Consider the following 16719-nt stretch of genomic DNA (forward strand, 5'->3'; position numbering starts at 1 on the left):
CACTGCAACCTCTGCCTCCCAGGTTCAAGTGATTCTCCTGCCTCAGCCTACCGAGTAGCTGGGATTACAGGCACTTGCCACCGAGCCCAGCTAATTTTTTTTTTTTTTTTTGAGATGGAGTCTTGCTCTGTCGCCCAGGCTGGAGTGCAGTGGTGCAATCTTGGCTCACTGCAAGCTCTGCCTCCCGGGTTCATGCCATTCTCCTGCCTCAGCCTCCCAAGTAGCTGGGACAACAGGTGCCCGCCACCACGCCCGGCTAATTCTTTGTATTTTTAGTAGAGACGGGGTTTCACTGTGTTAGCCAGGATGGTCTCCATCTCCTGACCTCGTGATCCGCCCGCCTCGGCCTCCCAAAGTACTGGGATTACAGTCATGAGCCACTGCGCCCGGCCGCTAATTTTGTATTTTTAGTAGAGACAGGGTTTCTCCACGTTGGTCAGGTTGGTCTTGAACTCCCGACCTCAGGTGATCCACCCACCTCCGCCCCACAAAGTGCTGGGATTACAGGCATGAGCCACCGCACCCGGCGTGTTTATTATATTTTTAATGCATATATATTTTTGAGACAGAGTCTCTGTTGCCCAGGCTGGAGTGCAGTGGCACGATCATGGCAGCTTTAACCTCCTGGGCCCAAGTGATCCTCCCACCTCAGCCTCTCAAGTAGCTAGGACCACAGGCATGCACCACGACACCCAGCTAATTTTTTTTTTTTGAGACGGAGTTTAGCTCTTGTTGCCCAAGCTGGAGAGCAATGGCGCTATCCCGGCTCACTGCAACCTCCGCATCCTGGGTTCAAGCGATTCTCCTGCCTCAGCCTCCCGAGTAGCTGGGACTACAGGCACGTGCCCACCACATCCAGCTAATTTTTTGTATTTTTAGTAGAAATGGGGTTTCACCATGTTAGCCAGGCTGGTCTCAAACTCCTGACCGCAGGTGATCCGCCTGCCTCAGCCTCCCAAAGAGCTGGGATTACAGGCGTGAGCCACTGTGCCCAGCCCAGATAATTTTTAAATTTTTGTAGAGATGGGGAGCTTCCTATGTTGCCCAGGCTAGTCTCGAACTGCCGAGCTCCAGCAGTCCTCCCACTTCAGCCCCCCAAAGTGTTGCGATTACAGGCGTGGGCCACTGTGGCCAGCTTATATGTGTTTAGATGTCAGTCTGCCTCAGCATATCTGAGTGTTTAAGGGTATCTAGGTGTGGCAGTGTGTATCTGGGCTTGTATATTGGTATATGTACCCACATGTTTGGATGTGCCACTGTGAAGTGGTGTGTAGGTAGGTTTGTCAACCTGTCTGTGTCTCAGTGTGTTTGTGTCTACATCTATGTAGATGTGGGGGTGGGAGCTGGGGTCTCTAAGAGTCCACATCCAGTTGTTCTCCTATCTGTGGGCGGAGAGCTCTGCCCACACATTTCAATCCCTCCCCCTGCTTCCAGAAGGCCCTGAGTGTGGGTGTTTCACTCGTAGCCCTGCTCCTGGGCACAGGGCTTGCTGCCGAGGACTGGTGGAGTGCATGTCTGCAAACACCTAGAGAGGGGCTCCAGCCAGCAGCCCCCGACATGTAGCCTTCCCAGCTGGCAGACCAGATTGATCATTTTCCTGTTTCTGAGAAGAACCAAGCCCCTCTCTTTGGAGAGCAGAGAGACCTCTGAATCTTGAGGTCAGGAAATCCCTGCTCTCTCAGCCTAGGTCAGTGTCCATCTGGCTGAGCTTGTCGTGTTTGTCAGATGCAGCCAGACAGCTGGGGAAACAAAACGTGTCTCCATGGCAACCCGCCTCCGCCTTCGAACTTGGGCAGTTCAGTGGTTTTGCAGGGCCCCCTTTGGGCCCAGTGCTGGGATGGGGTGGGTGGTGAGGATGAGTTAATAAGGCTTCTGCATATGTGCACTGCAGCCCCACACCCCAACATACTCAAATACCTCCACACACACTCCTTCCCTAGGTAAAACTGGATGTTCAGAATGGGGAAACTGGTTCCCAGAGAGGGCAATGTCTTGTTGCCCAAGTACACACTTAGCAAGTTAGTGGCAAGACCAAAATAATGAGAACCAGGTTAACTGTAGGGATTCTTTTGCCCCACGTAGTTTTCTCATTCTAGGATTTAATAATTACTTTAGAATATACATATGTAGGCCGGGCGCGGTGGCTCACTCCTGTAATTCCAGCACTTTGGGAGGCCGAGGCGGGTGGATCACGAGGTCAGGAGATCGAGACCATCCTAGCTAACACGGTGAAACCCCGTCTCTACTAAAAATACAAAGAATTAGCCGGGTGTGGTGGCGGGCGCCTGTTGTCCCAGCTACTCGGGAGGATGAGGCAGGAGAACGGGGTGAACCCGGGAGGTGGAGCTTGCAGTGAGCCGAGATCGCGCCACTGCACTCCAGCCTGGGTGACAGAGCAAGACTCTGTCTCAAAAAAAAAAAAAAAAAAAAAAAAAGAATATACATATGTATGTATGTTTTATGTATACTGTATATTTATAAAAACATTTTTTTTTGAGACGGAGTTTCGCTCTTGTTGCCCAGGCTGGAGTGCAATGGCTTGATCTCGGCTCACTGCAACCTCCGCCTCCCAGGTTCAAGCGATTATCCTGCCTCAGCCTCCTGAGTAGCTGGGAATATAGGCATGTGCCATCATGCCCGGTTAATTTTGTAGTTTTAGTAGAGACAGGGTTTCCCCATGTTGGTCAGGCTGGTTTTGAACTCCCAACCTCAGGTGATCTGCCCGCCTTGGCCTCCCAAAGTGGTGGGATTATAGATGTGAGCCACTGCACCGGCCAAAAACATTTTTTTGAGACAGAGTCTCGCTCTGTCACCGACGCTGGAGTGCAGTGGTGCAATCTCAGCTCACTGCAACCTCCACTTCCCCGGTTCAAGCAATCCTCCTGCCTCAGCCTCCTGAATACCTGGGATTACAGGCGCATGCCACCATGCCTGGCTAATTTTTGTATTTTTAGTAGAGATGGGGTTTCACCATATTGGTCAGGCTGGTCTCAAACTCCGGACCTCATGATCCTCCTGCCTCGGCCTCCCAAAATGCTGGGATTACAGGCATGAGTCACTGCACCCAGTCCCCAAAACATTTTCTAAAGTAGTGAAAAGCATGTACACACATATAGTTGAGTTCTATGCTAATTTTTTTTTTGAGGCGGAGTCTCACTCTCTCGCCAGGCTAGAGTGCAGTGGTGCAATCTTGGCTCACTGCAACCTCCGCCTCCTGGGTTCAAGCCATTCTCCTGCCTCAGCCTCCCGAGTAGCTGGGATTACAGGCACGCGCCTCCATGCCCAGCTAATTTTTGTATTTTTAGTAGAGACAGGGTTTCTCCATGTTGGTCAGGTTGGTCTCAAGCTCCTGACCTCGTGATCCGCCCGCCTAGGCCTCCCAAAGTGCTGGGATTACAGGTATGAGCCACCGTGCCCGGCTGATAACTTGTTTCTTTGCAGACCTGAGAATAAAGCTTCTCCTGACATTTTTACGAAGCTGTTAAAACTCTTACTACCGGCCAGGCACGGTGGCTCACGCCTGTAATCCCAGAACTTTGGGAGGCCGAGGCAGGAGGATCATGAGGTCAGGAGTTCAAGACCAGCCTGGCCAAGATACTGAAACCTCGTCTCCACTAAAAGTACAAAAAAATTAGCTGGGCGTAGAGGCATGCACCTGTAATCCCAGCTATTCGGGAGGCTGAGGCAGAAAATTTCTTAAACCCAGGAGGTGGAGGTTGCAGTGAGGCAAGATCACGTTATTGTACTCCAGCCTGGGCACAGAGTGAGACTCTGTTTCAAAAAAACAAACAAGGACCGGGTGTGGTGGCTCACACCTGTAATCCCAGCACTTTGCGAGGCCGAGGCGGCCAGATCACGAGGTCAGGAGATCGAGACCATCCTGTCTAACATGGTGAAACCCCGTCTCTACTAAAAATACAAAAAATTAGCGGTGCATGGTGGCAGGCGCCTGTAGTCCCAGCTACTCAGGAGGCTGAGGCAGGAGAATGGCGTGAACCCAGGAGGCGGAGCCTGCAGTGAGCTGAGATCTTGCCACTGCACTCCAGCCTGGGCGACAGAGTGAGACTCTGTCTCAAAAAAATAAATAAATAAAATTAAAAAAAAATAAAGTAAATCAGTGAGAACAGTGATGCCTTTTTTTTTTTTTTTCTTTTGAGACTGATTCTCACTGTGTTGCCCAGGCTGGAATGCAGTGGCATGCTCACGGCTCACTGCAACCTCCACCTCCCGGGTTCAAGCAATTCTGGTGCCTCAGCCTCCTGAGTAGCTGGGATATTTGTTGAAAGAACGAAGGGAAACACAACCCGTTGCATACTAGAGACTGGGTGGTGGCAATAACTACCTCTCTGCTCTCTACTTTTTCTCCTCTTTCCTCCCCCTGCACCCTCACCTCTTTCCCCTCCTCTCTTTTCTTAGGAGCTGGCACCAACTTAAAGATGGGAACGCATAAGACTCCATTTGATCTGGCCACACACCACTAACACCCTATGCGAGCCATTTCTCCTCTCAACTCAGCGGGAGGAAAAATGGGTGGAATTAGGCTTGGGGCTTGATTCTAAGAGATGCCTAGAGGATCAAAGAAGACCTCAGCAGGGAGGTTGTTTGAAATGTTAAGACGGCTGCCACAGATGCCAAGAGCCAGGGATTAGGGGACATAAGAATGCTGGCTGGGACCTACATCTCCCCCCTCCCAACTTTCAACTATGCAGGATTGCTCTGCCCTCTGGTACAATTCCGGCCCCTGCAATTGGTCTAAGAACTGAGGGAAGCCACAGGTGCTCCCATCCCAAGGCTGTCTGTCCCTTCCTGGTCTTCCCTGTAAAATGTAAGAGGCTCAGCCACACCTTTGGCCTGGCTGCCCTGTCTGGAGTGAGGAGTCTTTGTGGAAGGAGGCCAGGCCCAGCAGAGGACAAAGCTGGCTCCTGTGGAAGGCAGGTCTCCCAAGTGGAAAGGGGGATTGGTGTGTGTGAGGGCAACATCAGGGTGGTCCTGGGCTTTCCCCAAACAGAGGGGCAAAGTTGGAGGGCCCTTAGGATGCTGCCCCAAGCCTGGTTTTTGCTGGTTCCTCCCTGGGGACAGGCTGGAAGTTTCCTTCCTGGTCAGGTGACAGCCTGGCTCCAGGTTGAACTTTGGGCCCTATCCACAGGGACTGCTGGGAAGTCAGCTCCCTCCGCTGCCTGCAAGGCCAGCAAAGACATGTAGCTGAGCTGAGCAATCATTATTCCAGGGAGCCGGATCCAGCTACAGCTGAGACACAGGCTAGCTCTTCCTAGGCTAGCCCTCCCTGGGTGGCTCAGAAGCATGTCTGTCCTTTAGGCCAGGGGGCAAGAGGGAGAGCTGGGCCTGCTGGTCTGAAGGTGGTCCGGGCTGGGGATGAGAAGTGAGAGTCTCTGGGTGCTGGAGTCAGGAGCAGTGAAGGGAATATAACCCTGAACTCTCCTCATTTCCCTTCTTCCTCTCCCTACCTGCAAATCAGAGGATCCAATCTGTGGGTTGATTCCTGGAAATTCTAGTTTGAGGGGAATTTCCCTGAGGAATTATATGAGACACTGGCAGGGCTATCTTCAGAGGCATGCAAACTGTGTAGTTATGCATAGCCCATGCTCAGAAAGGCTCTGTGCTTGGTTGAATGTTTTGCTGTTGCCTCTTTTTTTTTGAGACAGAATCTTGCTCTGTCGCCCAGGCTGGAGTGCAGTGGCACAGTCTCGGCTCACTGCAACCTCCACCTCCCGGGTTCAAGCAATTCTCTGCCTCAGCCTCCCAGGTAGATGGGATTACAGGCACCCGCCACTATGCCCGGCTAATTTTTGTATTTTTTTTTTTTTTTGGGATGGAGTTTCGCTCTTGTTGCCCAGGCTGGAGGGCAATGGCACGATCTAGGCTCACTGCAACCTCTACCTCCCAGGTTCAAGCGATTCTCCTGCTCAGCCTCCAGAGTAGCTGGGACTACAGGCATGCGCCACTATGTCTGGCTAATTTTTGTATTTTTAGTAGAGACAGGGTTTCTCCATGTTGGTCAGGCTGGTCTCGAGCTCCCGACCTCAGGTGATCCGCCTGCCTCAGCCTCCCAAAGTGCGGGGATTACAGGTGTGAGCCACTGCACCTGGCCTAATTTTTGTATTTTTAGTTGAGACGGGGTTTTACCATGTTGGCCAGGGTGGTCTCGATCTCCTGACCTCATGATCCGCCCTCTTTGGCCTCCCAAAGTACTGGAATTACAGACGTGAGCCACCGTGCCCGGCATTTTTATTTTTGAGACGGAGTTTTGTTCTTATTTTCCAGCCTGGAGTGCAGTGGCACCATCTCGGCTCACTATAACCTCTGCCTTCTGGGTTCAAGCGTTTCTCCTGCCTCAGCCTCCCGAGCAGCTGGGACCACAGACAAGCACCACCATGCCTTGCTAGTTTTTTTGTATTTTTATTTATTTTATTGAGACGGAGTTTTACTCGTCGCCCAGGCTGGAGTGCAATGGCATGATCTCGGCTCACTGCAACCTCCACCTCCCGGGTTCAAGTGATTCTCCTGCCGCAGCTTCCTGAGTAGCTGGGATTATAGGCGCCTGCCAGCAAGCCTGGCTAATTTTTTTTTTTTTTTTTTTTGAGATGGAGTCTCACACTGTCACCGGGGCTGGAGTGCAATGGCGTGATCTTGGCTCACTGCAAACTCCGCCTCCTGGGTTCAAGTGATTCTCCTGCCTCAGCCTCTCGAGTATCTGGGATTACAGGCGCTTGCCACCTTGCCTGGCTAATTTTTGTATTTTTAGTAGAGACGGGGTTTCACTATGTTGGCCAGGCTGGTCTCAAACTCCTGACCTTGTGATCCACCTGCCTCGGCTTCCCAAAGTGCCAGGACTACAGGCGTGAGTCACCTTGCCCGGCCTGCTATTGCCTCTTGAAATTCTTTTTTTAAAAGACAAAGTCAGGCCAGGCACAGTGGCTCACGCCTGTAATCCCAGCACTTTGGGAGGCCGAGGCGCGTGGGTCACCTGAGGTCAGGAGTTCGAGACCAGCCTGACCAATATGGCGAAACCCCGTCTCTACTAAAAATACAAAAATTAGCCAGGCGTGGTGGCGGGCGCCTGTAGTCCCAGCTACTCAGGAGGCTGAGGCAGGAGAATCGCTTGAACCCGGGAGGTGGAGGTTACAGTGAACCGAGATTGTGCCACTGCACTCCAGCCTGGGCGACAGAGCAAGACTCAGTCTCAAACAAACAAACAAACAAACAACAACAACAACAAAAAGACAAGATTTCACTCTGTTTCGCAGGCTGCAGTTCAGTGGCGCGAACATGGCTCACTATAGCCTTGACCTCCTGGGCTCAAGGGATCCTCCCACCTCAGCCTCCCGAGTGAGTAGCTAGGACCACAGGCACTTGTCACCACACCTGGCTAATGAAAAACAATTTTTTTTTTGGAGAGATGAGCTCTTACCATGTTGCCCAAGGCTGGTCTCGAACTCCTAGGCTCAAGCAATCCTCCCACCTTGGCCTTCCAAAGTGTTGGGATTACAGACATGAGCCACTGTGGCAGGCCTTGAAATTCTTAATAAGTTTTTTTTTTTTTTTTTTTTTTTTTTTTTTGAGACAGAGTCTCGCTCTGTCACCCAGGCTGGAGTGCAATGGTGCAATTTTGGCTCACTGCAACCTCCGCCTACCGGGTTCAAGCAATTCGCCTGCCTTAGTCTCCCAAGTAGCTGGGACTACAGGCATGCACCACCACACCCAGCTAAGTTTTTGTATTTAGTAGAGACCGGGTTTCACCATGTTGGTCTGGCTGGTCTTAAACTCCTGACCTCAGGTGATCCATTTGCCTGGGCCTCCCAAAGTGCTGGGAATACAGGCCTGAGCCACCATGCCTGGCACCTGTAACACTTTTCTCTTGAAAACTGCATTCTCTACATTCCCTTTCCTCACCAACTAACAGAGGAAGAGGCTGGGTTCTTAGGAGTGCTAGGCTGGGCCAAGAGCACCCAGAGTACAGGGCTGGTTCCTGATCCAGAATGGGTGCTCTGGGATTGTGGGCTGGATCTGAATGAATGGTGGTTAGACAAGAAACTGAGGCCCAGCATGGACACTGGGTGGTCTGCCCCAGGGCCCCCAGGTGGGAGAGTGTCAATGATGTCCCAGGTTCACCACAGCTGAGCCCCTGGGGACATGCAGGGGGCTAAGGCAGGTTAGGGAGATCCCACTGCACTCTAGTAATCCTGCAATGTTATGGTGAGTGCTATCTACAGTGCGCCGGGGCTGACTGGGCTGGGTGGCCCAGACAAATGGGCCCCTGCCCTCGTGGAGACCAGGACCAAGAGAAAGCCGTGTGACCAGAGTCAGATTGGGTGATTCTGGCCACCCCACTGGTATGGACATCACAAGGCCCTTCTGGGGACTGACGGAGGAGGTTCAAGGGTGCTGAACCCACAGCTGGTCCCCAGCGCAATTTCTAGTCCTTAGGGTTTGAAGCCTTGGACCAGCCTGAGACAAAACCCAGATGACCATCTTGGCTCCTCTCCCGCTGACCACCTCTGTCCCCTTCTGGCCTCCATTTCCGTTGTCGTGGGATCAGATGATATAAAAGGGCTTGGTCAGCTGTAATAGACCCAGAGGCCTGTAGGCAATGAGTACAGCAATTTCAGGATTCTTAATGTTTCCTTTCCTACCAGCCTCCCAGTCACACCTCTCACCTGCCCAGAGTTCAACCCTAATTAGTGTTGAGCATCTCAGTGGGAACTCCTGGTCCAGGCAGGAGTGCCCTGGGGCCTCAAATCCTAGTCCAAGGGTAAACGGAGGAAGGGCTATCCTCATCTTGCCACCAAAGGGTGAGGCAGGAACACAGTGGACCTGGGCCCCCGCTGCACACCGAAGATGGTTGGAGCCTGGAAGGTGTGGTAAAGAGCGAGGAGGCGACCCCAGTCAGCAGATGGGAGGGAAATGCCCACTGCGGGTCACAGGTCTTGGACGTGTCTGAAGCCTCTATTCCTGGCGCAAGCGCCCCAACACTGTCGGGGCTTGGAAGGAATTCTCCAAATTCCCTTATTCCAGGAAAAAATATTCCAGAATCCCCTGTCTATTCCCAGCCCAAACTTGGGATACCAAGTCTCCTGGGGTCCAACCCCAGCCTCTCGCTCCTCCTTTCCTGCGCCCTTCCCCTTTCCGTCCCCACCCCATACCACCCTCTTCCGAACAGATCTCCCGCGGTGCCCCCTGCGGGACGGAACCTCAGTGCCGCCCCCTCCCGGGCGGCCCCACGACCCGCCCTCTCGGGCCCCAGCGGGGGGCACGACCCCGGGCTCCCGGGACCCCCTCCTCTCGGGACTGGACCTCGCCCTCCGCCGGGACCGGGGGAGGCGGGGAGGGGCCGCAGGCAGCGGCGCTCCCGCCCTGCGGCCGCTCCCGCCCCGCTCCTTCCCTCCCCGCCGGCCTGCGCCCCGCCCGCCGCTCGGCCGGCCCCTCCCGCGCCGCTCCCGCCGTCCGCTCTCCGCGCCCGCTCGGCCTCCGCCGCCCAAACTTTTCTCCGGGCGCGCGTCCCCGGCGGCCGCCCCCGGCATGGGCACCGCGCCGCAGGGGGCCTGACCCGCCGCCCGCTCCGCCCCCGCCTGCCATGGCGGCCCGCGCGCCCCCCGCCGCACCTGCGGCCGAGGAGCCGGGGAACCCGGGCGGCCCCCCGCGCAGGAAGAAGTCCCGCTCCGGCGCGTCCGGCCTCCGCCGCGCCTTCAGCTGGCTGCGGGGCAAGCGGCGCAAGAAGAAGGCGGCGGGGGCCGAGGGCGCCGAACCGGCCGCCCCCCGGGCCAAGAAGGCGGAGGACAAGGCCAAGAGGGCCAAGGGCAAAGGCCGAGGTAAGGCGGTCGGCACCTGGGCTGAGCGCGGGGGGGCGTCGAGGGTGCGGCCGAGGGGGCTCTGCCGGGGGTCCGCGCGCGGCGTGTTGGAGGGGGGTGACCCCCAGGAGCTGGTGCTGGAAAGCGAAGAGGCCAGGGCTGAGTCCGAACACTTCCACCCTGCGCTGCCTTCCGCAGTTTCCAGACCCAGTCCTGCCCCGCTGTGAGGGGAGGGGACCCCCGGCTGGGGCAGGGATCCCCTGGCAGAGCAGGAAGTGCTGGTAGCCCGACTCCAGGGCGGTGAGGCGATTCCCCCTCCCCCAGGCTCACCGAGGTTCTGCCCTCTGCTGAGTCAGGGGGTCAGAGACTTAACGCTGGCCTGTGGCCAATGGGAGAGACAGGTGGCCTTGGGTCTCTGGTGGGGACCCTCTGGGTCTGGAAGGTCAACCGCACTCACAAAGAGTTTCAGCTCCAGCTGGATCTGGATTTCCAGCCCCACAAAGGACCTCACATGGAGCACAGTGTGCCCTGCCTTAGCTTCTTAACAGTGCTGGCTTTTCCCACCTGGCCTCCCTCAACGCTCACCTGGGCCAGGCCACAAACATCACCTCCTGGGGTAGTGAGCTCACCAAGGTGAACCAACCCGCCCCTCCCTATCACTCCTTCTTCCAGCCCTGGAGAAACATGCCAGTGTCGGAAGTGTGCTTACAGATGGGGGAAACTGAGGCCCAAGCTCAGTGGAGAGGCTGTACCTGGGCTGGGGTGGGTACTTAAAATTCAACAGCTAATTCTCAGTCTTTCTGAATTTGAGTCCCTGGGCTCCTCCTCTGGCCTGGACGGGCAGCCTGAAAGGCGGGGAAGCCGACCTGGCCCATCCCTGCTGGGGTCATTTTCAGTTCCTTTCTTGGGCCTTCCCTCATTTTCCAGTTTCTGTCTTCCTTTTGATGGGGAGGGCTTGAGTCTTTGCAAGAGGGTGGAGCTCCCTTGGGGCTTGCTGTCCTGGGAAGTCCACCTTTCCTAGACTGCTGCTGCAGTGCTGGAGGTGAGGAAATGGCTGGGTGTGCGGGCCCATCCCATTCTGCCTGTGTTTACCCTCCCAGTGTCCTTTAACCACCTCTTCTGGGAGAGTTAGAAGGAACACTTTAGGGGTCAGGAAGAGGGTGGAAAGCCTCATGTGTGATTGTATCCGGCTTGATCTTCCTTTTGGATAAGGGCCCTGCTTCCCTGCGGCACAGCCACACATAGAAGTGAGGGTGCTGGGGCTGGGGTGACTGGGCCAAACCCTGAGGGAGGACTGGATTTGGGTGAGGGGTGTTTCCAAAGCCTCTGCAGTCCTAACAGGACATGGAGTCTGTCCCAGGGCTGCCCCACTGGGATTCAGTCTGAAGTCATCCCCGTCTCATTCAAGAGGGCATTGCAGCAGGATGTATTGTGGTCAGACTGTCAGGATTGGCAGGCAGAAGGCTAGTGGACTAGCAGTGTATACTCCAGGGCAATGGACCTTTTTCCTCTGGGAGACCAGCCTGGAAGGCAGGGGGCTGGAAAAGCTGAGCCTGTAGGTCACTGCTCCAACAGCCTGGGTTTGGGTTCATTGGGTCAGTGGCCAGGCCTCCCTCTTGCCTTGTGTTTGGTATCAGGTGGCTCTGGGCTTTCTGGGCAGCATGTCGGCCTGATTTGAGCCCACGTGCATGGGTAACACCTCCTTGCCCCTGGCTGTTGTTTCTCCAGGTCTGGAGGTGGCCCTGGGTATGACTGGAGGAAGTCCTGTTCCCTTTTACTCCAGCCTCCTATTATTGCAACTGTTTCCTTGTCACCTGCCTGGCCCAACTTCTTTTCTGTTTATTAAGAGAAATAAATCTGATCCCACTAATCTCCACTGGCAACGCTGGCCAGGAACGGGAAGCCTGCAGAAGGCTTAACTCTTTCAGGGAGAATGTTCAGAATGGAGATTGGGAGAGGTGGGGAGGAGGGATACACAGGAGATTCCTGGGAGGTCAGGGATCTTTGCTGGGGAAGTCATTATCTCCTCCATTCCAATCTCTGGCTCAAAGACCTATGAGAGGCAGGTCTTGATTCCTCTAATCTGACTCTCCTACTTTAAGATGGAAAAACTGAGCTTGTCATGGAGTTTTGAGCACCAGTCTTCCATGATTCCCTTGCTGACCTCACTACCCTGCACAAACTTAGAAGAAGAGAGGAAGTCTGACATTTATTGATTAGTCTGAATATGTCAAGATCTTACTTGCAGATGAAAAAATTGAGGCTCAGGGACAGTGAGTGACTGATTTGACCAAACGGATTTAAACTCAAATCACCTGCCTCAAAAATCGGGACTGTTTTCATGACTCTCCCAAGGACATAGAGCAGCAGGTAAGGCTTGAAGATCTTCTTGTTCAACTCACTTTACAGATGGGAAATGGCCCAGAGAGAGAAGTGAGGGAACTTGATAGAGTGGGGAGAGTATCAGAATCAGGCCAATGAGAGTTTAAATCCTGGCCCAGCTACTAGCAAGCCCCATGATGTAGGATGAGCAACTTCTCAGTGGGCTCCCTGATTCCACCACTGTCTTGTGGGGAAGAAAGGGGGAATCCTCTGGCTGGACATTGCCTTGATGGGCTGTGACCTTTCTGTCTCACCAAGATTCTCACAAGAGAGCATATGAAAATTATATTAAAGGCTGGGCGTGGTGGCTCATGCCTGTAATCCTAGTATTTTGGGAGACCGAGGCGGGCAGATTGCCTGAGCTCAGGAGTTCGAGACCAGCCTGGGCAACACGGTGAAACCCCGTCTCTACTAAAATACAAAAAATTTGCCAGACAAGGTGGCGTGCACCTGTAGTCCCAGCTACCCGGAAGGCTGAGGCAAGAGAATTGCTTGAACTCGGGAGGCGGAGGTTGCAGTTAGCCAAGATTGCACCGCTGCACTCCAGCCTGGGCAACAGAGCGAGACTCAGAAAAAAAAAAAAGAAAAAAAAAAGAAAATTATATTAAAGAGAAGTAACCATAGAAATGCAAGGGGTTGCTATGCCTGTGTTTATAAGTTTAGTCACCTGAGCTCTAACGACCCAGTCTGGAAGGAATGGGCTCTGGGCCTAAGAACAACTTTGCTTGACTGGGCGTGGTGGCTCACACCTGTAATCCCAGCACTTTGGGAGTTTGAGGTGGGTGGGTCATGAGGTCGCGAGTTTAAGACCAGCCTGACCAACATGGTGAAACCCTGTCTCTACTAAAAATACAAAAATTAGCTGGGCGTGGTGGCGCGTGCCTGTAATCCCAGCTACTCAGGAGGCTGAGGCAGGAGAATCGCTTGAACCCGGGAGGTGGAGGTTGCAGTGAGGCGAGATTGCACCACTGTACTCCAGCCTGGGCGACAGAGCGAGACTAGGTCTCAAAAAAAAAAAAAAAAAAAAATGGACAACTCTGCTTCCCTGGTCTGCCCCTCTCAAGCTACAAGATGCTGGCAGGTTATTCACCCCTCCAAGCCTCAGTATCCTTATCTGTAAAATAGGGATAATAAATCCTAGCTTTATAGGGGCCTTTCCAGGATCAAATGAGCTAACAGACATGCAAGTGCGTTGTGAACTGTGGAGCATGGTGCAGCTGGCAGCAGGTTTCTGCTGTTGTTATGCTGCTGAGGACTTGAGCATTAGTTAAGTTCACCCTGATCCATGTTTGGAAAACAGCCCATGATGATGATGATTATTGAGGGGGATTCACAGAGGATAGAGTCTCACCTTTGTCCCACAGGAGGACTCAGACATAAGAAAAAGTTAAAAAAACAGGCCAGGCACGGTGGCTCACGCCTGTAATCCCAGCACTTTGGGAGGCTGAGGCGGGCGGATCACAAGGTCAGGAGATTGAGACCATCCTGGCTAACATGGTGAAACCCTGTCTCTACTAAAAAATACAAAAAATTAGCCAGGTGTGGTGTCGGGCGCCTGTAGTCCCAGCTACTTGGGAGGCTGAGGCAGGAGAATGGAGTGAACCCGGGAGGCGGAGCTTGCAATGAGCCGAGATCGCGTCACTGCACTCTAGCCTGGGCGACAGAGCGAGACTCCAGCTCAAAAAAAAAAAAAAAAACAAAAAAGAACAAGTTAAAAAAAACAAAAACAAACAGGAATCCATATCTTCCAGAAATATCACCTGGACTCTAGACAAGTGTGTGGGTAGGAAGTGTTTCTGGGACAGATGCCAGGATTGGAGCCCAGCAGATAATCAGGGGAGGCTTTCTGGAGGAGGCGAGCGCCTATGGAAGGAGGGCAGGGTCCTGGCTAATCTGAATGGGAAGAGAAGTAACAGGAAGGCTGCTATGTGCTATATATACCCTGGCCAGGCATTTTCATCAAAGTCTTCCTATGTCCTTACAGCAACCTGGGAGGTGGACAGTTACCACCATTTGTAGGTGAGAAAAAAGGGGTGAGAGTAAGTAGCCCGAGGTCACTCAGCTTCATTTATTTGAAGAGGACATATTCTTTACTCTGGAGTGTAAGGCACTGTTCAAGGTGATGTGAATGCCAGAGGACCAGACAGGCAAGGTCCCCATCTATGTGGAAGTGAGGTTCACAGCATCACAATGACGGAGCCACTCAGTCTGCCTCCAGAGGCCACACTCTACAAAGAAAATTATATGATGATGGCTGTGTTTCTGACTCTGGAGGCAGGTAACCTCTCTAGAGTTTTAGACAAAACCAGTTTTGGGGAAAGGGGTATGTAGTCCTCCTGAGGGTTTCTCTTGTGCAGTGGGCAGCGGCTGAGGGGTGGGAGTAGGCATGGCTCTGATACTGAGAATTTGAGAGCTACCCTGCCAGGCCTAGCTGACTTAGCCCCATGTTAACTCCAGTCAGTTCACTGTGGCCTCTCCAAGTTCCCTCTGGCCACTCAGGGAGGACTGTCCTTTCATGGTGTGGAGTTGTGGAGAGAACCCTGAGTTTGAGTTCTGCTCTGTTGTATGACCTTGGGTAAGTCCTGCCCCTCTTTGGACCAGACATGCCCTGTCTTGACAAAGATGGTTTTTTTTTTGTTTTGTTTTGTTTTTTGAGACAGAGTCTCACTCTGTCGCCCAGGCTGGCGTGCAGTGGCGAGATCTCAGGTCACTGCAACCTCTGCCTCCCAGGTTCAAGCGATTCTTCTGCTTCAGCCTGGGACTACAGGTGAGTGCCACCGTGCCTGGCTAATTTTTGTATTTTTAGTAGAGATGGGGTTTCACCATATTGGCCAGGCTGGTCTCGAACTCCTGACCTCATGATCCGCCCGCCTTGGCATCCCAAAGTGCTGGGATTACAGGCGTGAGCTACCGCGACTGGCCGACAAAGATGGGGTTTAATGGCCTCTGAGACTCTTGCTAGTTCTAGGATTCTGTGAGTTTGAGAATGGGCTGAGGGAGCAAGCCTGTAGGGGCTGGGGGCTAGGCATGGAGATGGGAGCTGTGTCCAGGAAAGGAGAGCTGACCTCCAGCCAGCCAGATAAGACACTGAGACCCAGTGGCCTGGATGTCATAGGAAGGGGAGTAAGGTGGCTGGGCGTGGTGGCTCACACCTGTAATCCCAGCACTTTGGGAGGCTGAGACAGGTGGATCACTTGAGGTCAGGAGTTCAAAACCAGCCTGGCCAACATGGTGAAACCCCGTCTCTACTAAAAATACAAAAATCAAAAATTATGGCCGGACACAGTGGCTCACGCCTGTAATCCCAGTGCTTTCGGGGGCCAAGGCGGGAGGGGATCACCTGAGGTCAGGAGTTTGAGACTAGCCTGGCCAACATGGCGAAACCCCATCTCTACTAAAAATGCAAAAATTAGCTGGGCATGGTGGCATGCATCTGTAATCCCAGGCTACTCGGGAGGCTGAGGCAGGAGAATAGCTTGAACCCAGGAGGCAGAGGTTGCAGTGAGCTGTGATCACGCCATTGCACTTCAGCCTGGGCAACAAGAACAAAAAGCTCCGTCTCAAAACAAAAAACAAAAATTAGCCAGGCGTAGTGGCAGGCGCCTGTAGTCCCAGGTACTTGGGAGGCTGAGGCAGGAGAATCACTTGAACCCAGGAGGCGGAGGCTGCAGTGAACTGAGACCACGCCACTGTACTCCAGCCTGGGCGACGGGAGTTCAACTGGGCAACAGTTTCATTCAAAACTCAAAAAAAAAGGAAGGTGGGTAAGGAGAGTCCATTATGAACAATGTCATTTCTCTCTGCTGAGGAAGGGGCCTAGATAGTTCCAAAGCAGTCAGAGTCAAGTCTCTGGGGTCGTGGGCGCCTTGCCCTTCTGAGGTCAGGATGGTGTCTGTTTGCCCGTCAGTCAACACTCCCATGTGTTTTCCCCTTCTGTGTCAGTTCCTGTGCTGCTTCTCCTGCCTGGAATGTGCTCCCCTTCACTTTGCTATCCAGTGAACTCCTATTCAGCCCTCAGGGCCTGGTGTCAGTGTCATCTCTGTGATACTCCCAGGGGAAATTATTGTCCCCAGACCCTAGAGCAAGGTGCTTAAGAGAGTTGGGGTTGGGCAGTATATGCTTTTCCAGCCACTTTCTTCTTGGGTAAAGGGCACCTCAGTGTCCTTACCTGGGGCCTGGACCAATGTAATAGGGGCGGAGTTCCCTCTGCTATGGGATACCTCCAATAGGGGAGTGGTTTCCCAGAGGAGTTTGGGGTTTCTCAATAAGAATGTGACATTTTGGCTTCCCAGAAATGTAAAAAATAAAGAGTGTGACAGGGTGGCTGCTCTGTCTCCCCCAGACCCCTGTGAGAGGATAGACATTGTTTTCCTAGGGTCCAGACGGGAGAGGGAGCCTCACTCACTTATTTCACAGATATTTCCTAAGTGTTATATACCAGGCACTATCCTCGGGATGAATAAGAGAGACAAAGTCCTGGGCCTCATGAACCTCACGATGAGTGTGTGTATAGGGGGGAAAATACGCTGAA

General features: G+C 53.4%; 1 protein-coding gene across 1 annotated transcript in view, besides 3 other annotated features; it reads left to right on the forward strand.

Annotated features, from left to right (window-relative positions):
• Nucleotides 2824-3349: an enhancer, noted in NCBI's record as "H3K27ac-H3K4me1 hESC enhancer chr1:33200787-33201312 (GRCh37/hg19 assembly coordinates)". NCBI's record gives its function as "activates a minimal SCP1, AML or CMV promoter by ChIP-STARR-seq in naive H9 embryonic stem cells {active_cell/tissue: H9 hESC(naive)}" and the evidence as "EXISTENCE:reporter gene assay evidence [ECO:0000049][PMID:30033119]".
• Nucleotides 3874-4398: an enhancer, noted in NCBI's record as "OCT4-NANOG-H3K27ac-H3K4me1 hESC enhancer chr1:33201837-33202361 (GRCh37/hg19 assembly coordinates)". NCBI's record gives its function as "activates a minimal SCP1, AML or CMV promoter by ChIP-STARR-seq in naive H9 embryonic stem cells {active_cell/tissue: H9 hESC(naive)}" and the evidence as "EXISTENCE:reporter gene assay evidence [ECO:0000049][PMID:30033119]".
• Nucleotides 4399-4922: an enhancer, noted in NCBI's record as "OCT4-NANOG-H3K27ac-H3K4me1 hESC enhancer chr1:33202362-33202885 (GRCh37/hg19 assembly coordinates)". NCBI's record gives its function as "activates a minimal SCP1, AML or CMV promoter by ChIP-STARR-seq in primed H9 embryonic stem cells {active_cell/tissue: H9 hESC(primed)}" and the evidence as "EXISTENCE:reporter gene assay evidence [ECO:0000049][PMID:30033119]".
• NHSL3 (NHS like 3) overlaps nucleotides 9468-16719 on the forward strand; it is a 33141-nt gene continuing 25889 nt past the window's right edge. Inside the window, exon 1 of the mRNA NM_020888.3 lies at nucleotides 9468-9827. Coding sequence (NP_065939.2) covers nucleotides 9593-9827 — 235 coding nt within the window. The 5' untranslated portion in view covers nucleotides 9468-9592. The remainder of the gene's footprint in view (nucleotides 9828-16719) is intronic.

Source organism: Homo sapiens, chromosome 1 (assembly GCF_000001405.40).
Source record: "Homo sapiens chromosome 1, GRCh38.p14 Primary Assembly".
Lineage (NCBI taxonomy): Eukaryota > Metazoa > Chordata > Mammalia > Primates > Hominidae > Homo > Homo sapiens.